The sequence below is a fragment of the Homo sapiens genome, chromosome 12, assembly GCF_000001405.40.
Source record: "Homo sapiens chromosome 12, GRCh38.p14 Primary Assembly".
In the NCBI taxonomy this organism is placed as follows: Eukaryota; Metazoa; Chordata; class Mammalia; order Primates; family Hominidae; genus Homo; species Homo sapiens.
This window is the reverse complement of record NC_000012.12, coordinates 121,914,036-121,934,875: the sequence shown is the minus strand read 5'-3', so window position 1 is coordinate 121,934,875 and position 20,840 is coordinate 121,914,036. Positions and strand designations below refer to the sequence as shown.

General features: G+C 47.0%; 2 protein-coding genes across 5 annotated transcripts in view, besides 4 other annotated features; both read right to left on the bottom strand.

Annotated features, from left to right (window-relative positions):
* CFAP251 (cilia and flagella associated protein 251) overlaps positions 1 to 16,284 on the bottom strand; it is an 85,328-nt gene extending 69,044 nt beyond the window's left edge. The window contains exons 1-5 of one of the 2 annotated variants that reach the window (NM_144668.6): positions 16,181 to 16,284; positions 13,193 to 13,590; positions 10,886 to 11,254; positions 2,990 to 3,130; positions 520 to 629 (exon numbers count right to left, since the gene is read on the bottom strand). In NM_144668.6, coding sequence (NP_653269.3) covers positions 520 to 629; positions 2,990 to 3,130; positions 10,886 to 11,254; positions 13,193 to 13,570 — 998 coding nt within the window. In that variant the 5' untranslated portion in view covers positions 13,571 to 13,590; positions 16,181 to 16,284. Of the gene's footprint in view, positions 1 to 519; positions 630 to 2,989; positions 3,131 to 10,885; positions 11,255 to 13,192; positions 13,591 to 16,167 lie in introns of both variants that reach the window. The other variant, NM_001178003.2, reaches the window with a different exon arrangement.
* Positions 7,377 to 7,496: a silencer, noted in NCBI's record as "silent region_5002". NCBI's record gives its function as "represses an Ori minimal core promoter by ATAC-STARR-seq in GM12878 lymphoblastoid cells {active_cell/tissue: GM12878}" and the evidence as "EXISTENCE:reporter gene assay evidence [ECO:0000049][PMID:35858748]".
* Positions 9,716 to 10,394: an enhancer, noted in NCBI's record as "H3K27ac hESC enhancer chr12:122362388-122363066 (GRCh37/hg19 assembly coordinates)". NCBI's record gives its function as "activates a minimal SCP1, AML or CMV promoter by ChIP-STARR-seq in primed H9 embryonic stem cells {active_cell/tissue: H9 hESC(primed)}" and the evidence as "EXISTENCE:reporter gene assay evidence [ECO:0000049][PMID:30033119]".
* Positions 9,859 to 10,153: an enhancer, noted in NCBI's record as "tiled regions #2985 and #8376 (exact overlaps); HepG2 Activating DNase matched - State 8:EnhW". NCBI's record gives its function as "activates a minimal TATA promoter and a strong SV40 promoter by Sharpr-MPRA in HepG2 cells {active_cell/tissue: HepG2}" and the evidence as "EXISTENCE:reporter gene assay evidence [ECO:0000049][PMID:27701403]".
* Positions 16,006 to 16,155: a silencer, noted in NCBI's record as "silent region_5001". NCBI's record gives its function as "represses an Ori minimal core promoter by ATAC-STARR-seq in GM12878 lymphoblastoid cells {active_cell/tissue: GM12878}" and the evidence as "EXISTENCE:reporter gene assay evidence [ECO:0000049][PMID:35858748]".
* Positions 16,579 to 20,840, bottom strand: part of PSMD9 (proteasome 26S subunit, non-ATPase 9) — a 29,508-nt gene continuing 25,246 nt past the window's right edge. For all 3 annotated transcript variants that reach the window (NR_048555.3, NM_002813.7, NM_001261400.3), the window contains 2 exons: positions 18,932 to 19,020; positions 16,579 to 18,592 (listed from right to left, as the gene is read on the bottom strand). Coding sequence is in view for 2 of the 3 variants with exons in the window: in NM_002813.7 (NP_002804.2) it covers positions 18,565 to 18,592; positions 18,932 to 19,020 (117 nt within the window). In the remaining variant the exon portion in view is untranslated. The remainder of the gene's footprint in view (positions 18,593 to 18,931; positions 19,021 to 20,840) is intronic.

Below are 20,840 nucleotides of genomic sequence, written 5' to 3'. Positions count from 1 at the left end.
ATGATTGCGCCAACGCACTCCAGCGTGGGCAATGGAGCGAGACCCTGTCTGTACTATAAAAGAAAGGAGGCAATGGTGGGTTGTTAGAATTAGAGAGAGACTGCAGAGAAACAGCAGCTTTGGAAAGCCTCCCATCATTACTATACCTAAAACCATGGCAGGCAAACAGATCGAAATCGAACATATCCAACAAGAAATGTATGGAATGAGGAGCAGCGATAGACACGAACACTTGGTAGCAACCATTAAGAACTGCCCAGAAGAGGCAGCATGACCAGCCACTAAAAAATCTGTCCTTGTAGAAGTAATGTTTCTCATTGTAAATGACAGATTTGCCATCTGGGTTATGCTTTGAGCTTGTGTGAGCTAGGTTAGTGTGAGTCAGCATAAGCCAGTCTACTGTGGAACACCAACAAATCAAATTTCTAGGCATTGGCATTGCTCATTCTGTCACTGTCACACAGTGGCAGATACTCTACAGAAATTCAGGGAAAAAAGAAGTGGCTACACAAAGCCTACCCTGTGAAGGAGTCCCATATAATCACCAGGCAGTCTGGCCCTTTGTCTGCTGTGGCGATCCACCGCCTGTCTTCACTGACGCAGAGGCAGGAGATAATATTGGCGTGGCCCTATGGAAATGGAGAGAAAACGCTTTGAAACATCCAAGATGCGGCCCAGCCTTGGCCACTATCAGCAAAGGCCGGGGACCCACAGAAAGATCTGAGCTCCTTTCAACGCTCATCTGGCTGGAAATTCTGTTCCCGCTGGCCTTCCTGGGTGTTTCTCCACTTCCTAGTGGGTGATTTTCAAACTTCCTCTCCCTCCAAACACCTGAAAGATAAGTTCCCTACATGAACAGTGGCTCCTAGAGGTGAAGGCAAGCGGCAACTCCCAACCCAAGTGGAGGATAAGCATCTGGGTCCTCCCCTCCCCCAGCCACTCTGAGTCACGCTGCCGGCCTCTTCTCTCTAGAACACTGCTCACTTCAGGGCTCTGAGCAGCTCTGGGGCAAAAAGTTCCTCACTGGTCTCTCTACTCCCACTCTTTTTGTTTGTTTGAGGCAGGGTCTCACTCTGTCACCCAGACTAGAGTGCATCAACACAATCTTGGCTCACTGCAGCCTCGATCTCCTGGGCTCAAGCAATTCTCCCACCTCGGCCTCCCAAGTAGCTGGGACTACAGGCACATGCCACCGTGCCCAGCTAATTTTTACATTTTTTGTAGAGACAAGGGTCTTGCCATGTTGCCCAGGCTGGCCTCAAACTCCTGGGCTCAAGCGATATACCCACCTCAGCCTCCTTGGCCACAGCCTGTGCTGAAATTACAGGCATGAGCCACCATGCTCGGCCTCTGCTTCCACTCTTATCTTCTTACAATCCTTTTATGCACACAAGAGAGGAATCTTCTGGGAACACAAATGGCAGCACTCCCTGCTGGGAAATGGCCCCTCTTCCCTCCTTCCTTCTCTGTCTCCCTCATGGTGCAGCAGCCACACCAGCCTTCTTTCCAGGCCCCACACACAGGCCTGAACACTTGTTGCTCCCTCTGTTTGGAATGTTCTCCCCCAGACTGTCTTTGGCTGGCTCATTCGCATCCTCCAGGTCTCAGCAGAAACAGCACCTCTTCAATCCCTGCCCACTCAATCTAAAGTTAAGTCTTCTCTTACCCTGATTTTTCTCCCTTAGAGCGTTTTCACATCTCCTTTCAAGCACTGGTTACAATTTGTAATCATTTATGTGTTCACTTGTTTAACATCTGTCTCTGTTCTAGACTGTAAGCTCCATGAGAGCAGGGAATACATCTGTTTTGTTCATTACTACAGACCTATACTGTGAAACATAGCAGCTATAACTATTTGTGAAACGAATGGATGGTCAAGGCCACTCCCAGCCCTCTGGCCCTAGTGAGGCTGGACTCCTGCCTCCTTCCACCCCAGCCCATCTGCGCATCCTGCTTCCCCTGACTATCTGAGCCTGCCCACAGCAATCTCTCCTTCTCTCTCTGCCATCACCACTGTGTTCAGTGCCATGCATTCAATGAAGCTCCAAGGGGAGCTGCCTGCTGATTTCTGCCTGCGTATTTCTGGACTTCTAGAGAGTGAATTCCTTAAGTTGCACCCAGACATCTTGAGTCCCTGGCACAACACTGAGTACTGACTGGGTCCTTGGTAAATACCTCGTGGTGTTTTTGATCTAGGCATCAGCTAAGGACACTCCTGTAACAACACACGTCAACTGAAAGGGTGATGTGGAACAGTTGACCAGGCCAACGAGTGGAAAGTCAGACACCAAGGAATAGGATGCTTGGAAAGGTAAATGATGAAAATGAAGTGGGTCCCAAATATCAGGAACAAAGGAGGCAGAGTGCTGTGAGGAGGGCAGGCATGAAGGACAAATGGGGGAGGCTCAGAGAGGGGTGAAAATGAGCAAAGCTGCTGAGAGGAGGGAGGGATAAAAGGACAACTGACCTACTTAACACTTTCAAGACAGGAGATGTAGAGTCATTGTTTACTAGTACAGTCTTGGGCAAGTCACTTAAAACACTCTGAGCCTCAGTTTCTTCTTCTGTAAAATGGATATATGAATACCCACTTCTCGGTACAGTTATAAGATGAAAGCCCTTTGAAAACTAGAGATGTGTGTAAGTGTCCGTGAGGTCGGCACCCTGCTGAATAGCTGCCCTTTGTGTTATATCTGTGGAGATATGATCTACGCTGTCCACATTTTTGCAGAAGTGTAAAAAATACAGATGTTTTAAATTCTCACTATAAAATTAATATCAACTGCTGTTTTGTAAGTTGATTCTGATTAGAAACAGAGAGACAATAAACAATACCATGTGTTTCTAAAGACAGGCTTGCTTTTAGTTCCAAGGAGAGTGGGAAAATACGACAGTGATAGAATGAAGTCAGCCCTTGAGATACAAAACAAAATACCACACGCACGTTAAAGACAACTCCCCCACCTGTAGGAAGGAAATCCCTGCATACCTGAAGGTGGTATTGATTGTTCCTGAACACGTTGTAGATGATCGCAGTGTGAGCACAAACATACAGAAGAACTCTCTGCCTTTCCTCTCGAATATAGTAAACAGGAAGAGAACTGTTCCATCCAAACGACCAGGTCATGGTCTGGAAGACAAGGGCAAAGCCAGCAAGACATTACAGCGTGTTCAGCCCAGAGCTGGGGCTCCAGGAACTCGCCGGAGGGGAAGGATTTCACATCAACAGTTCAGTGAAGAGGAACCACTTTAAGAAAGTCCTCAGCCAGGCGTGGTGGCTCATGCCTGTAATCCCAGCACTTTGGGAGGCTGAGGCGGGTGGATTACCTGAAGTCGGGAGTTCGAGACCAACCTGGCCAACATGGTGAAATCCTGTCTCTATTAGAAATACAAAAAATAGCTGGGTGTGGTGATGCATGCCTGTAATCCCAGCTACTTGGGAGGCTGAGGCAGGAGAATCACTTGAACCCGGGAGGCGGAGGTTGCAGTGAGCCGAGATCGCGCCATCGCACTCCAGCCCGGGCGACAGTGTGAGAAAAAAAGGTTAAGATGGCAACGTTAATGTTCCGTGTATTTTACCACAATTTAAAAAAAAATTTAAAGGGTGAATTTTATGGCATGTTAATTATATCTCCATTAGAAAAGAAAGTCTTCAACAATACACAGAAATAACTTCCTTTTCTTCCACTCCCCAGGACCTAAACTTTGTTCAATACCAGACACACAGTGAGCACCTAACGTTGTGAAATTCCATTTACTTTCTAAAAGCATGTAGAGTAGACAAGTTACAATGAAGTCATTACGTAACTTTATAAGAAAGGCAAATAGGCTGGGAGCCCTGTTTCATGCCTGTAATCCCAGCACTTTGGGAGGCTGAGGTGGGTGGATCACCTGAGGTTGAGGGTTCTAGACCAGCCTGGCCAAAATGGTGAAACCTCATCTCTACTAAAAACACAAAAATTAGCCAGGCGTGGTGGCACGCACCTTTACTCCCAGCTACTCAGGAGGCTGAGGCTGGAGAATCACTTGAACCTGGGAGGCGGAGGTTGCAGTGAGCTAAGATCGTGCCACTGCACTCCAGCCTGGATGACAGAGTGATACTCCATCTCAAAAAAAAAAAAAAAAAAGAAAGGCAATTAATTATTCAGCCTGGGTATTTGGTCCCTATGTACTATTTCTACTGGAAGGATAAAGGATGAAGAGACAAAATCTCTTCAGAAGAATTAAAAATTCTGTATTGCCTGGAATAAACCCAAAATTAAAATTTTATGAAATGAAAAATTATAAGTACAATAAATCTGACTACTGCTTTTACTTCAATACTAGTTTATTTATGTACTAGTTTTGTGTTCAAAGTTTTTTGGGGTTTTTTTTGTTTTTTTTGGAGGAGGGAACAGAGTCTCACTCTGTTGCCAGGCTGGAGTGCAGTGGCACAATCTCAGCTCACTGTTCACTCCGCCTCCCAGGTTCAAGTGATTCTCCTGCCTCAGCCTCCCGAGTAGCTTGGAGTACAGGCATGCACCACCACATCCAGCTACTTTTTGTATTTCTAGTAGAAACAGGGTTTCACCATGTTGGCCAGGATAATCTTGATCTCTTGACCTCATGATCCGCCTGCCTCGGCCTCCCAAAGTGCTGGAATTACAGCAGTGGGCAACGGCGCCCAGCTCAAAGTATTTTTTAAAAATTAAGAATAAACCAACTGTGGCACATCCAGACAATGCAATATTATTCAACGAGGAAAAAAAAAGGGCTAACAAGCCACAAAAAGGTATGGAGGAAAGTTACATGCGTGTTGGTAAGTGAATGAAGCCAATATGAAAAGACTGCATATTACATGATTCCAACTATGACTTTCTAGAAAAGGTGAAACTTGGAGACAATAAAAAGATCAGTGTGGCCCGGCACAGTGGCTCACGCCTGTAATCCCAACACTTTGGGAGGCCGAGGCGGGTGGATCATCTCAGGTCAGGAGTTCAAGACCAGCCTGGTCAACACGGTGAAACCCCATCTCTACTGAAAATACAAAAATTAGCCAGGTGTGGTGGCGCATGCCTGTAATCCCAGCTACTTGGGAGGCTGAGCCAGGAGAATTGCTTGAACCCAGGAGGCGGAGGTTATAGCAAGCTGAGATCACGCCATTGCACTCCAGCCTGGGCAACAGAGCAAGACCCTGTCTCAAAAAAAAAAAAAAGATCAGTGGTTGCCAGGGCTCAGGGGAGGAAGGGAGGGATGGATCGGTGGAGGACAGGGGGTTTCAGGGCATGAATCTATTTGTATGATACTAGAATGCTGGGTACATGTCAGGATACATTTGTCCAGGCCCATAATAAGCATGACACACAGAATGACCCCCAATATACACTATGGACTTAGGTTAATAATAAGGTACCAGTATTGGCTCATCAGTGCTAACGGATGAACCACACTCATCCAGGATGTGAATAAAAGGGAAAACTGTGAAAAAGAGGAGGGATGTGCAGAGGAATATGTGGGCGCCCTGTGTACAGTACATTCAGCTCAATTTTTTTTTCTTTTTTCTTTTTTTTTTTTTTTGAGATGGAGTCTCGCTCTGTCACCAGGCTGCAGTGCAGTGGCATGATCTCGGCTCACTGCAGCCTCCACCTCCTGGGTTCAAGAGAGTCTCCTGCCTCAGCCTCCTGAGTAGCTGGGACTACAGGCATGCACCACCATGTCCAGATAATTTTTGTATTTTTAGTAGAGACAGGGTTTCACCATGTTGGCCAGGATGGTCTCAGTCTCTCAATCTCATGATCCGCCTGCCTCAGTCTCCCAAAGTGCTGGAATTACAGGCATGAGCCACTGCTCCCGGCCTTCAATTTTTCTATAAACCTAAAACTGCTCAAAAATAAAATCCAGGCAGGGTGCAGTGGCTCACATCTGTAATCCCAGAACTTTGGGAGGCTGAGGTGAGTGGATTGCTTGATCCCAGGAGTTCAAGACCAGCCTGGGCAACATAGTGAAACCCCATCTCTAAAAAAAATACAAAAATTAGCCAGGCATGGTGGTGTGCACCTGTAATCCCATCTACTCAGGAGGCTGAAGCAGGAGGATTGACTGAGCCTAGGAGGTGGAGGTTGCTGTGAGCCGAGATCGTCATGCTGCACTGCAGCCTGAGCAACAGAGCAAGACCCTGTCTCAAAAAAAAAATATATATATATATACGTATATATATATATATATACGTATATATATACGTATATATATATATATATACGTATATATATACACATATACATAAAATTATCTAGGGTCAAGTAATCAAATGCAGTAGAGTGCTGAAAGTGATGCGTTGCGTTGCTAAGAATCAGTGAATTAAATTGGCATATAGAAACAAAATCTGGTAAGTTTCCTTTCTTATCTTTGAACAATACTTATAAAATTAAATTGTTTCTCCCCAAGACAGACATAGCAGGTAATGTGGCCAATTTCTCTCTCCTACATTCTTAATTCCCCATCCTCTCCTGTTTCCATCTGCTCATTCCCTATAATTTATATTTATATTTAGATCTCTTATTGTGTGGGTGTGAGTGGTAGAATTATGGAATCATAATTGTCTCAAGCTGCAACTTCTAGGAACAGAATTATTTAATATTTGGCTGTTTCTTAAAAGCTGATTTATTCAAATGAAATTGTTCTTTTGGAAACTTGCTAATCCTAAAAGGATCATCTTCCTGGAAATTTATTTTGCCATTTAACAAATTAGTGACAAAAAGAAAGCATTCCTAAAAGGACTCCTGTCTTCAGCCACAACAGCTCTTCCCGGGTCACCACGAGGCTGACTTCACTTAGTGGTAACAGAACAACCCCACTCGAGCAGCGTTCACAATTGTGGAAATCAAATAGTATTAATCATCGTGTTTTGCAGAAGTTTTAACATGCATGACAGATGATTATGGAGATAGCCACTGCTTACATCAATCTTTTTCTAAAACATATTAATCTGGAAAATAAAACTTTGCTGTCAAAACCAGATTTCATTGTATTTGATATTCATAAGATTCCTGCTCATAAATACATGATTGCCTTGTTTCCTAGCTGGAGGTGGGATCCACAGTCATGTCTATTTACCGTGAACAATGGGAGCTAGTACAGGCCTTAGCACTAAGGAGAGGACCCCAAAGGAAAAGGAGGATGCTGTGGACACAGGAGAGATGGAGGAGCACGTTCACTGTAGGACCTTGTGTGACAGCAAGAAATTAGAAGCAACCTAAATGGCCACAGAAAGGGGAACAGTTACATTTAAAAAGAGGAAGTGGGCTGGGCACGGTGGCTCATGCCTGAAATTCCAACACTTTGGGAGGCTGAGGTGGGTGGATCACCTGAGGTCAGGAGCTCGAGACCAGCCTGGCCTACATGGCGAAACCCTGTGTCTACAAAAATACAAAAGTTAGCTGGGTATGGTGGTGCGTGCCTATAATCCCAGCTACATGAGAGGCTGAGGCAGGAGAATCACTTGAACCCAGGGAGGCAGAGGTTGCAGAGAGCCAAGATAGCACCACTGCACTCCAGCCTGGGTGAGAGTGAGACTCCATCTCAAAAAAAGAAAAACAAAAAGAGGAAGTAGAGATACATGCACTGATACAAGAAACCTTCCAAGACATATTAAGTGGAAAAACATTTTGTAGAAATGCAGGATTATCTCACCGGTAAAAAAAAAAAAAAACCTAAACAACACAAAAACTAAATGTGAGCCATGTGCACAGGCATGGGCACACAGATAACATGTTGTACATGCACAGAACAAGGTCAGGAGAGGAGCAGTCACAGCCAACTGTGGCAGGAATTACATAGGGAAATGAGATTGGGTGGGGGTGTGTGTAGGAAGAAGAATCTTTGCCTTCAAACATGTATAAGTTGTCTGAATTTTTTACAAATAATCCTGAATAGTTTTTGTTTGTTTGTTTGTTTGAAACAGAGTCTCACTCTATTACCCAGGCTGAAGTGCAATGGCGCAATCTTGGCTCACTGCAACTTCTGCCTTCCTGGGTTCAAGCGATTCTCCTGGCTCAGTCTCCTAAGTAGCTGGGATTACAGGCATGCACCACCACGCCCGGCTGATTTTGTATTTTTAGTGGAGAGGGGTTTCACCATGTTGATCAGGCTGGTCTTGAACTCCTGACCTCAGGTGATCCACCCACCTTGGGCTCCCAAAGTGCTGGGATTACAGGTGTGAGCCACCGCGCCCGGCCAACACTGAATAGTTTTAACAAAAAGAAAAAATTGAGGCCGGGTACGGTAGCTCACACCTATAATCTCAACACTTTGGGAGGCCGAGGCGGGAGGATTGCTTGAGCTTAGGAGTTCAAGGCCAGCCTGAGAGACATAGTGAGACCCCATCTCTAAAAAAGATTTTTAAAATTAGCTGGGTGTGGTGATACACACCTGTAGTCCCAGATACTGGGGAGGCTGAGGTGGGAAGATCCATTGAACCCAGGAGACGGAGGTTGCAGTGAACCATGATCGCACCACTGCACTCCAGTCTGGGTGATAGAGTGAGAGCCTGTCTCAAAATAAACAAAAAGAAAAAAATAATAAAGGAGAAAGAGAGAAAGAAAAAGAAAGTGAAGGAAAAAGAAAGAAGAAAGAAGATACATGCAATAAGCTAAAGAAATGTCAGGAGGCTGAAGTGGGAGGATTGAGTTCTAGTCCAGCCTGGGCAACACAGCAGGGCTCTGTCTCTTAAAAAAGGCCGGGCATGGTGGCTCACGCCTGTAATCCCAGCACTCTGGGAGGCCTAGGCGGGCAGATTGCATGGTCAGGAGATCAAGACCATCCGGGCTAACACGGTGAAACTCCGTCTCTACTAAAAAAAAAAAAAAAAAAAAAAAAATTACAAAAAATTAGCTGGGCGTGGTGGTGCATGCCTGTAGTCCCAGCTACTCGGGAGGCTGAGGCAGGAGAATCACTTGAACCCAGGAGGTGGAGGTTGCAGTGATCCAAGATCACGCCACTGCACTCCAGCCTAGGTGACAGAGCAAGACTCCACCTCAAAAAATAAATAAATAAATAAAAGCTAAAGTAATTTGTAAAGGAAGACAGTCTAGAAAATTTTTGGTTCTGCCGTTTTGGTTCCGCAGTGAGACCAAGGCTAAGCGAGACCCAAAACTTGGGGGAGTGGCTCTTGCCAAGTCCAGATAGCTGTGCCCCTGACACAAAGAATACACCTTCTTAGAGACATTGCCTGATTTATGTTTGCTGGCTAAACAAGACAAGAGTCTTTGTGAGCCCTAAAGCTCAATTATTCTTTCTCTCGGAGTGAACAGTTGCAAGCTGTGGGAGAGAGGCTGTCACACGGGGCTCAAATGAAGCCCATATGCAGAAAGGAGGTTTCCAGTTGCCTGCATTTCCCTCCAGACGTCTTGCCACCGTCATCGTCATGACACACAGTTGCGGACACTTACTGAGTACTCACTATGTCTTAGGAACTACATTAAGTATTTGATATCCATTCAATCGCTTCCACATCTTCCAAAGGCATGAATCTACAGGAAGGATGAATCCTAGGAAACAATTTTCAGAAAGTAGCAGATGGAGGAAGAAGGAAAAAACTCCTCCTTTTCCTTCTCCTGGTAAATGATAATATTTTTACTCCTCGCAGATGGTGCCTCCCTGGAATATTTTCAGCAGTGGCAAAGGCAGATTCCTCTGGACTGCCTGGGGCTTTTCACTGCGGCTTTCACTCCTCCATTACCTTCCACTCTGGGACCCTCTTGGAATGGATGGTTTTGGGGTCATGTAAAGATAAAGGCAGAAGAGGTGAGGCAAGAAGGGGAAGGGGTGGAATTGGCAGCATGAAGGAGGAGTTTTACAATGTGAGAGAAAAAAGGAGAGGAGACAGGAGGGAAGAGAGAAAAGGGAAAGGAGAGGGGAGGGGAAGAAGAGGGAAGGGAAGAAGAGGGAGAGGAAGCGGGAAGGAAAGGGGGAGGAGGAAGCTGGGGAAAGGGGCGGAATGGAGTTTGGATCTCCCACGTGAAATAGCACCCTATGCAACAGACAAACTATGTCTGGAATTTCCTGCCTGCTGAGCAACACCATTGAACGCAGATGCCGCTCTCAAGTTCATGTTCAGTCACACGTGTTCCAGTCGGAGCTCTTAACCGAACTTTAAAAGACACAAGTCTAGGCCGGGCGTGGTGGCTCACGCCTGTAATCCCAGCACTTTGGGAGGCCGAGGTGGGCGGATCACGAGGTCCAGAGATCGAGATCACCCTGGCCAACATGGTGAAATCCCATCTCTACTAAAAATACAAAAAAAGCCAGGCATGGTGGCAGGCGCCTGTAATCCCAGCTACTTGGGAGGCTGAGGCAGGAGAATCGCTTGAACCCGGGAGGCGGAGGTTGCAGTGAGCCAAGATCGTGCCATTGCACTCCAGCCTGGGCAAAAAGAGTGAAACTGTGTCTCCAAAAAAAAAAAAAAAAAAAAAAGACACAAGTCTAGGCCGGGCGTGGTGGCTCACGCCTGTAATCCCAGCACTTTGGGAGACCGAAGCAGGTGGATGATCTGAGGTCAGGAGTTCAAGACCAACCTGGCCAACATGGCGTGGCGAGACGCCATCTCTACTAAAAATACAAAAATTAGCCAGGCGTGGTGGCTCATGCCTGTAATCCTAGCTACTCGGGAGACTGAGGCACAAGAATTGCTTGAACCTGGGAGGTGGAGGCTGCAGTGAGCCAAGATCGTGCCACTGCACTCCAGCCTGGGCGACAAAGCAAGACTGTCTTAAAAAAAAAAACACAAGTCTATTATTAGTTTAAAAAGTATCCTTCTGGTGGTATTCTTTTTCCCCCAACATGCATAAAATTCCCCTATTGCGCAACACTCTCAAAAGCACTGGGGGAGATTTAAAAGCATTACACTTACCAAGGGATACACCGGGGTGCTTTTATCCTTTTGAAACAGAATGTCCTCTGTGGTGCTGGACACCAGTGACTCCCGGGAGATCCCTGCTTTGGACTGGATGTCGGATACTCTCCTTTCTTGTCCCTCCTCTCTGTTTTCTGGCTCCAAGTCCCTTCTTTCTTGTCCCAGTTCATCTTGGGGCATCCGGTCGGTTTTCTCCTCAAGCTCTCCTGAGGGCTGCCTTTCAGGGGAACTAATCTGTTGTTCCTCAGGACTGATTTGATCCAAATCAAGAAATTCAATTTGTGTGCTCAGGTCTCTTAAAAGCTCATCTGTTTCTGCATCCTCCAATTGTAAGGAAAGCTTTGACTTGCTACCTCTTTGGGTTTTCTTTAAAAAGAAATAAAATATCATGATTCCATATGTGCTGCTACTCACCATTTATTCACCTTTTCTATTCCCAGTCAGCCAGTCTTAGTGTTAGCCTCACCTAGGAATTATGAAATGTTTTTTAAAAGAGGCTGGAACATTTTGTACTTAAAAAACAAAACAAGATGGGGTATAATGGCTCACCCCTGTAATCCCAACACTTTGGGAGGCCAAGAGGGGAGGATCACTTGAGCCCAGGAGTTCAAGACCAGCCTGGGCAACACAGTGCCACCTTATGTCTACCAAAAATGAACAAAATTAGCTGGGCGTGGTGGTACATGCCTGTAGCCCCAGCTACTCAGGAGGCTGAGGTGAGAGGATTGCTTGAGCCTGGGAGGTTGAGGCTGCTTGTGAAAGATCATGTCACTGTACTCCAGCCTAGGTGACAAAGTGAGACCCCAGAAAGGAAGGAGGGATGAGAGGAGAGAAGAAGGGACAGGAAGGGGAGGAGAGGGGAGGGGAGGGGGAAAAGGAAAAGATAAGAAAAGAGCCAGGCACGGTGGTTCACGCCTGTAATCCCAGCACTTTGGGAGGCCGAGGCGGGCAGATCACGAGGTCAGGAGATCGAGACCATCCTGGCTAACATGGTGAAACCCCATCTCTACTAAAAATACAAAAACAAAAAATTAGCTGGGCGTGGTGGCGGGCGCCTGTAGTCCCAGCTACTCGGGAGGCTGAGGCAGGAGAATAGCATGAACCCAGGAGGCGGAGCTTGCAGTGAGCCAAGATTGCACCACTGTACTCCAGCCTGGGCGACAGAGCGAGACTCCGTCTCAAAAAAGAAAAAAGAAAAGAAAAGAGAAAAGAAAAGAACAGGACAAACGTGGGTGTGTTCAAGTTTATTCTTGGCCTACCAGCAGACCCACAATGGCAAAATCATTCTTCTAAGTGGCACTCGTGGTCTCCAAAAGGCTGACTAGCTACAGACAGTGACCTATTCTTAGGCCACAGCTAAGTTCTCCTACTGGGAGCAGTCTGTGGGAAGCCTACACTCCTATTATCATACCGACTCCATTCTAAGGCGAGCACCTCAGCTGTGGCACACACCTCCTCCAGGAAGCTTTCCCTGGCCATCCTCCAAACTGAGTTAAGAGGCCCTGTTTCATCTCCTGTGCATCTTTCACTCACTGCACTCATAGGTCTGCCTCCCTACACACCTTAGAGCTCCTTAAAAGAATGGATTGTGGCCAGGTGCAGGGGCTCCTAGCACTTTGGGAGGCCAAAGCTGGTGGATCACCTGAGGTCAAGAGTTTGAGACCAGCCTGGCCAACATAAGTGACAGCCTGCCTCTACTAAAAATACAAAAAAATCAGCCAGGCGAGGTGGCGGACGCCTGTAATCTCACTACTCGGGAGGCTGAGGCAGGAGAATCACTTGAACCCAGGAGGCAGAGGTTGCAGTGAGCCGAGATCACGCCATTGCACTCCAGCCTGGGCAACAAGAGTGAAACTCTGTCTCAAAAAAAAAAAAAAAAAAAGAATGGATTGTGGCCGGGCGTGGTGGCGTGTGCCTGTAATCCTAGCACTTTGGGAGGCCAAGGTGGGCAGATCATTTGAGATCATGCATTTGAGACCAGTCTGGCCAACATGGTAAGACCGAAACCCCATCTCTACTGAAAATATAAAACATTAGCTGGGTGTGGTGGTGGATGCCTGTAATCTTAGCTACTCAGGAGACTGAGGCAGGAGAATAGTTTGAACCCAGGAGGCGGAGGTTGCAGCAGGCTGAGATTGTGCCCCTGCACTCCAGCCTGGGCAACAGTGAGACTCTGTCTCAAAAAAAAAAAAAAAGGAATGGATTGTACCTTATTTGGTTTTGTGTTCCCATAGTCTGGCCTATACTAAGCATTCAACTAATGATTCTGAATGAATTGATGAATGAATTAAGATGACTACTTACTGGGAAAATTCCTGATGTGATTGACTGGGAATCAGTAATCTGTGTCTCCAAACGGATCATGGACGCTGTGACTTCTTGGGGCTCTACTGTGGTTTCTTCCTGTATTCCTGAAGCCTCCTTCTCTTGGACTTCTCCAGCCTTTTCCTCAGTTTCTTCCATGACAATCTTTTTGTCCTCCTTCCCCTCCTCCTCCCCTTCCTCCTCGCCCGTTTTCCTCTCCTCCTCCTGAGACTCTCTCCATGCTATTGTGTCATCTTTTGATTCCTGTTGTGGATCTTCTACTTCTTTATAATTTGGATTAGGTTCCTCCTCTTCTTTCATTTCTGTTTCTCCATTTTCTCCTGTTGCTTCTCGGGGAGCTTCTGCTGCATCTGACATTCTTCTCTGTAGAGTTTCCTCTAGAGAGATTTTGACCATAATAACCAGCTGGCCCTCAGCTTCCCATTTCCATCTCCTAGTGCACTAACCTACTGATGAAATGTGCATAAATGGCTCTGTTCCCTTTCCATAGGAATAAAAAGAATGTCATGTTTCTGACCAGGCACGGTGGCTCATGCCTGTAATCCCAGCACTATGGGAGGCCAATGCAGATGGATCACCTGAGGTCAGGAGTTTGAGACCAGCCTGGCCAACATGATGAAACCCCGTTTCTACTAAAAATACAAAAATTAGCTGGGTGTGGTGGCAGGCGCCTGTAATCCCAGCTACTTGGGAGGCTGAGGCAGGAGAATCGCTTGAACCTGGGAGGCAGAGGTTGCAGTGAGCCAAGATCATACCATTGCACTCCAGCCTGGGTAACAAGAGCAAAGTTCTGTCTCAAAAATAAAAACAAAAAAAGAATGTCATATTTCTGGCCAGGCACAGTGGCTCACGCCTGTAATCCCAACACTTTGGGAGGCTGAGGCGGGAGGATCAGTTGAGGTCAGGAGTTTGAGACCAGCCTGGCCAACATGGTGAAACCCCATCTCTACTAAAAATACAAAAAGTTGGCCGGGCGTGGTGGCTCACGCCTGTAATCCCAGCACTTTGGGAGGCTGACGCGGGTGGATCACGAGGTCAGGAGATCGAGACCATCCTGGCTAACACGGTGAAACCCCGTCTCTACTAAAAATACAAAAAATTAGCCGGGCTTGGCGGTGGGCGCCTGTAGTCCCAGCTACTCGGGAGGCTGAGGCAGGAGAATGGTGTGAACCCGGGAGGCGGAGCTTGCAGTGAGCCGAGATCGTGCCACTGCACTCCAGCCTGGGCAACACAGCGAGACTCCGTCTCAAAAAAAAAAAAAAAATACAAAAAGCCTGGTGTGGTGGTGGTGCCTGTAATCTGAGCTACTCAGAAGGCCGAGGCAGGAGAATAGCTTGAATCTGGGAGGCGGAGGTTGCAGCGAGCCAAGATCATGCCACTGCAGTCCAGCCTGGGCAACAGAGCGAGACCCTCTCTCAAAAAAAAAAAAAAAAAAAAAAAGTCACATTTGTGGGAAACCTTTTTTTTTTTTTTCTCTTGAGACAGAGTTTTGTTCTTGTTGCCCAGGCTGGAGTGCAGTGGCACGATCTTGGCTCACTGCAATTACTGCCTCCAGGGTTCAAGCTATTCTCCTGCCTCAGCCTCCCGAGCAGCTGGGATTACAGGCGTCTGCCACCACACCCAGCTAATTTTTGTATTTTTTCAATGGAGGCAGGGTTTCACCATTTTGGCCAGTCTGGTCTTAAACTCCTGACCTCAAGTGATCCGCCCGCCTTGGCTTCCCAAAGTGCTGGGATTACAGGCGTGAGCCATCACGCGCAGCTGGGAAATCTTAAAGTATATGTATTTGTGGCCCAGATCTTAAAAATACTGATCCAGGGCCTGTCAACTTTCTGGGAATAAACACCTTGTAGCCTTTTTACTCATTTAAAATATATTTATATTCCCACAGGCAGCAAAATGCATAACCCACATATTAGCAACAATTCTAGAAACAGGAATACGAGAAGAAGCAGGGTAGCCTAGTGGTTAAAAGCAAGGGCCTTGCTGTCAGCTTGTCCTAGCATTGAATCCCATTTCCACCACGTACTTGCTCTGTGACCTTGGGCAAGTCACTTTACCCCTCAGAGTCTGCATTTTCTCATGGGCAAAATGAAAAGAATAATCCTAAATTCTAGGGTTGTTGTAGAGAAGTGATAACATATATAAAATGCTCATCACAATTCTGGCACATACAGCTTGAAAAAATGGTAGCAGTTGTTATTATTTGAGAGAAAAGCAACCCTAATGTGCAAAGAAATGAACAGTTTGAAAGCCTTCTGGCATATTCTCCATTTATTCCTTACAACAAACAAGAGTTTGAACTAGGAAAACAATAAGGATGGATACTTTATCCCTAAAGAGTTGGACCCCGAACAAAAAAAATCCCTACATTTTCAGTGACATTAGAATAAGAGAACTCAACACTTTGAAAATAAAGTCCCAGAGAGTACAGAGTAGAAAAGGTATTTCTATTTCTTAATTTCTTTCTCAGCACTAAATGTATCAGCTCCTCAAATTCATCTCTGGTAAAAAAAAAATAATAATAATAATAATAAATAAATAATGAATGGATAAATGAGTTTGAGGCTCTGAGAGGTGAAGTGACTTATTCAAGATGACACCGCTAGTAAGAACGAGATTTCTCTGGCACTTAGTTTCTCCAGCTGAAAAATCACTGCTCTGAATCAAGTCTAGGGCTCTCACCACCGAGCCTCTTTTGACTGAGCCCAACTTCGCCGGCGCGTCTGGACAGCCGGGTTCGAGCCGCAGGGGTTTGGGGCAGGGGTGCCAGGTGCGTGGCTCTGCGAGGGGATTAAAGCCCAGGTGCGGCCTCTGCCTCCAACTCAGGTCTCCCTGGGGCCGCCCCAGGCCCCACAAGGGCCAGGTCGGGTGAGCGCCCCCCAAGGGGCACCAGACCCCGCCAGGTCGGGGGCCCCCTCGCCAGGGCCGCGTGGCCTCCGCCCCGGACTTACAGAGAGCACCCACCCCGGTCTTCAAAAGGCCAGAGTCGTCCCGCCGCCTGGACCCCTCAGCCACCTCCCGGGCCTCCTTCCAGCGGCCGCCACCTTCTCCACCAGCTCCCTAGTTCTGGTTGCCACCCAAGCTCCGTCCCCATGGCAACCGCCACCGCCGGAAGCGACAGGCCCTAAAGCGACAGGGCAGGGCGGTGGTCACGTGCCAGGAAACGGTGACGAGCGTGCCCGACGTGCCTCCTGCCGGTCGCTGGCGGCATAGACTTTCCTCGCTTTTCTGTCCTTCCTCCGCTCGCACGATCCCACCTTTTCACATGGTCCCGTCCCCTAAGAAGCTGCAGCGGCCAATACTGCCAATTTTTACTTTCCGCAACCTTGGCAAGATGGGGTGGAGAAGTATGAACTCGGATACAATGCTCTTTTCCAAAAGCAAACTGAATTTCCAGGTCTCATGGATGCAGCACACAACCGTCCTGCCTGCCTCCTCACCGGGCACCGCGTGTTGCAGACAATTCCAGCTGGCTGGGGGCAGATATGACACAGGGTGCACCAGCTTGCGGTTCTCAGCACAAAGCGTTTCCGCAAAACCGGTCTGGCTATATCTATTAGGATCATTCCACGTCAAAGTGGCTCTCCACTAACATCTCATGGAAGACGGCAACAGGTGGCCACACGGGTTTCCACTGGGACCCCTGCAGGAAACCAGCCAGAGCCACTGAGGCAGAAGGCTCTCTGCTGCTGTCATTTTAGGAGAATGTGAATAATTCTCCCCGCCCACACTGCCATGCCCCAGTGATGGTAAATTGATTAATATGCATACATCTTAAAATAAAAAAGAAAGGATAAACTGGGCAAGCTGTGTTTATTATAGTCTGAGACTTTATAAAAGAGACTGGAAAATACGTGGAATTAGAACATGCAATTTAAACAGCAAACATTGGTAAACACAGCATGTCTGTGGCTACCAGAGGGGAATACGTATGGCTGTCAGGTCAAATAGAGTTTGAGGGAATTCGCCCAATAGGAAGGCTTTGGAATTGAGTGTGAGAACCTGTGGCTGGAAGCACACAGCAATACCAATCCCATCAAGGCAAGCTGGTATCTGTATCCAACCACAGCAAAACCAGTCCCAAGGAACACAGGGCTTGCCTGGCAGAACTGCCAAAACAGAAAGCGGTGTGCAAGAACTGGGGAAATGAACACTGATACCATGGAGAGGAAAAAATAATTCAAAGTATTGGCAGGAATCCCTGAGAACCATTTTACCATCTTAAAAGAGACAAAAAATAAAAGGGAGGAAGAATAAGCATTTTCAAGAGGTCTGATCTACTCGTTCCTATCCATACCTCAGCGGTTTACAAAATAGCGCTGATCTCAGGGCATAGCCAGGAGGTTCAATTATAAAAAGTCAAACTAGCAGTGGGCTGGGCGCAGTGGCTCACGCCTGTGATCCCAGCACTTTAGGAGGCCAAGGCAGGAGGACTGCTTGAGCCCAGGAGTTCGAGACCAACCTGGTCAACACAGGGAGACCCTGTCTCTACAAAAAATAAATTAGCTATGCATGGTGGTGCACGCCTGTGGTCCCAGATACTTGGGCGGCTGAGGCAGTGCCCACAGCGTCAAGGCTTCAGTGAACCTTGATCACGACACTGCACTCCAGCCTGGGTGACAAAGCAAGACCTTGTCTCCAGAAAACAAAAACAAAAACACACAAAAACGGAGGGGTTCTTACTAGCGAAGTGAAAGGAGCTTGCTGCCCTCTGGTGGGTTCCTAAAGAGGAAGCTGACAGGACACCACGCTGGGCCACCTGGGAAGCCTCCAGGCTTTCCCTGTTCTCCAAAGGGAGCTACTATGGCCCTGACAGCCCAGCTGCTGAGGAAGCACAGTACTTAACCATTTCCGTATCCACAGCAGCAAGGCCTCAGTGCAAAGAAATATGTTGGTCAAAGCCTGACTTTGCAATTGCTAGCCTGTTTTGCCCAACTTTCTATGAAGCTCTTCTGACCCCATCTGAGCTTTGGTTTGGGAGGGTCATAAGAAATTCAGCTGGGGTGACAACAGGGTCATATCAGCACTGTAAAACTCTTTATTAAAAATAATAATAATAATCACACCAGTACCTGCCAGAATAACTTCCGCCCACTTGCCCACAATCCAGGGAATTCCTATTTAGGGCCGTGGCCTAATTTGTGAAAGAGGCCAAGCCTAAGTTTTTAAGAATGCCTTAATCCAGGGAGATTACACTGGTGGGCCACAGTACTGCCACCACACAGAAGTTCAGGTTACAAGCCTCTTCCAGATCCTTATGCTTCAGGGAGAGAAGACAAGTTGGAAATCCCTAGACCCAAGTCCAGGGCAAGGGAAGATGCTTTCCTGTTACTGTTCCCCAGGGACAATCATCTTTGCAGAGGAATAATGTTGCAGCTGGAAGAAAGAAGAAAAGGAATGGCGTAAGTTTGGAGGCTCCCTTCAGGAAGGTCAGAGGCTGAGCCCTTCTGACCTTTTCACCAATGTTCTTTCATTCTTTTAAAGCAAATGCCTAGTGCATGAATGAACTGGAGAGACTCCCAGGAGAGACTCTGGGGCTCCCTCTGCTTCTAGAGCTGTAGTCTCGTTCCTACCACGAGGATTTATCTGCAGTTTCCATGCAAACTGGGGATTCCCATTATTCCCCAATGTCTCCCCAGCCTTCCCCTCCAGCTTCATGTTTAACAAACACTCAAATGATGCCCCAGTGAGAATGAACAGAAACAGATACTTTACCCCAGCAGTCCTTTTCCTGCCCAGCGTGTTGGAACAAGTCTAAGCTGGTGTTTTTCCCCCCTGCGGATCACTGTCACATTCAGGGGCTTCTGAAAAGAAAATAAGCTCATTTCGTGTTCAGCCTCGTTAGTACTCAGAGATGCAGGCTAAAATGCTGAGATCCCATTTTTTGCCTATCAAATTGGTAAAGATTTACATTTGCAGCATAATCCTGTGGTTGGCGAGAGGGTGGGGAACGTGGCACTGCACTCTCAGGGCAGCCAGGGTGCTGACCTCAGTACCATCTTCCTCAAAAAACACGTGTCCCACCACCAACGATCTTTAAAAGGTACATCCAAGGTACATAGTACACAATTGCAAGATGACATACAAATTACAAGACATACAAATGCCTGTAATCCCAGCACTCTACAAAAAGTATAAAAATTAGCGAGACATACAAATGAAATGTTCATTCCAGGACTGTGTAGAAATTCAAAAACTGAAAACACCAGAAATGTCCATCAATAGGTATTGTTCAAATACAGTACAGAGAATGAAGGGTTTTAGTCAAAACAAACCAAAACCCCACCAAAGTATGAACCTATTTGATAATATTTTCTTTCTTTTTTTTTTTTTTTGAGACACAGTCTCACTCTGTCACCCAGGCTGGAGTGCAGTGGCACAATCTTGGCTCACTGCAACCTCTGCTTCCCAGGTTCTAGCAATTCTCATGCCCCAGCCTCCTGAGTAGCTGGGACTACAGGTGCCCGCCACCACACCCGCCTAATTTTAGTATTTTTAGTAGAGACAGGGTTTCGCCATGTTGGCCAGGCTGGTCTCAGAACTCCTGATCTCAGGTGATCCACCCACCTCAGCCTCCCAAAGTGCTGGGATTACAGGTGTGAGCCACCGTGCCCGGCCGATAATATTTTCTAAAAGGACACCTGTGTTGCTCTAGTGTGCGAAGTTTTCTGGAAGAACATGGAAAAACTTGTTAAGAGTGGTTACTTCCAGAGAGGACTAGTCCTTTGGAAAAAGAAGATGTTTACTTTTATATATTTCCATATCATTAATTTTTTAACCATGCGTATGTATTGCTTTATTTTTCTGAGACAGAGTCTTGCTCTGTTGCCCAGGCTGGAGTGTAGTGGTGCAATCTCAGCTCACCGCAACCTCAGCCTCCTAGGTTCAAGCAATTCTCGTGCCTCAGCCTCCTGAGTAGCTGGGACTACAGGCATGCAGCACCATGCTCAGCTAATGTTTCTGTATATTTAGTAGAGACAGGGTTTCACCATACTGGCCAGCCTGGTCTCAAACTCCTGGGCTCAAGTGATCTGCCCACCTCAGCATCCCAAAGTGCTGGGATTTTGGGCATGTGCCACCACACCTGGCATGTATGTATTACTTTCTTTTTTTTGAGATGGGTTCTCTGTCGCGCAGGCTGGAGTACAGTGGCACAATCTCGGCTCACTGCAACCTCCGCCTCCCCGGTTCAAGCAATTCTCCTGCCTCAGCCTCCTGAGCAACTGGGATTACAGGCACGTGCCACCATGCCCAGATAATTTTTGTATTTTTAATAGAGATGGGGTTTCGCCATGTTGGCCAGGCTGGTCTTGAACTCCTGATCTCAGGTGATCCACCCACCTCAGCCTCCCAAAGTGCTGGGATTACAGGCATGAGCCACCACACCCAGCCTGTATATAGTACTTTAATTTAAAAAATTAAAATTAAAGCAGGGGGAGTACATACCAAAAAAATTACAAATTAAAATACGATATCCAGGCACGGTGGCTCACGCCAGTAATCCCAGCACTTTGGGAGGCAGGAAGATCACTTGAGCCCAGGAGTTGAAGACCAGGCTGGGCATGGTGAAACCCTGACTCTACAAAAAGTATAAAAATTAGCGAGGCATGGTGGTGTGCACCTA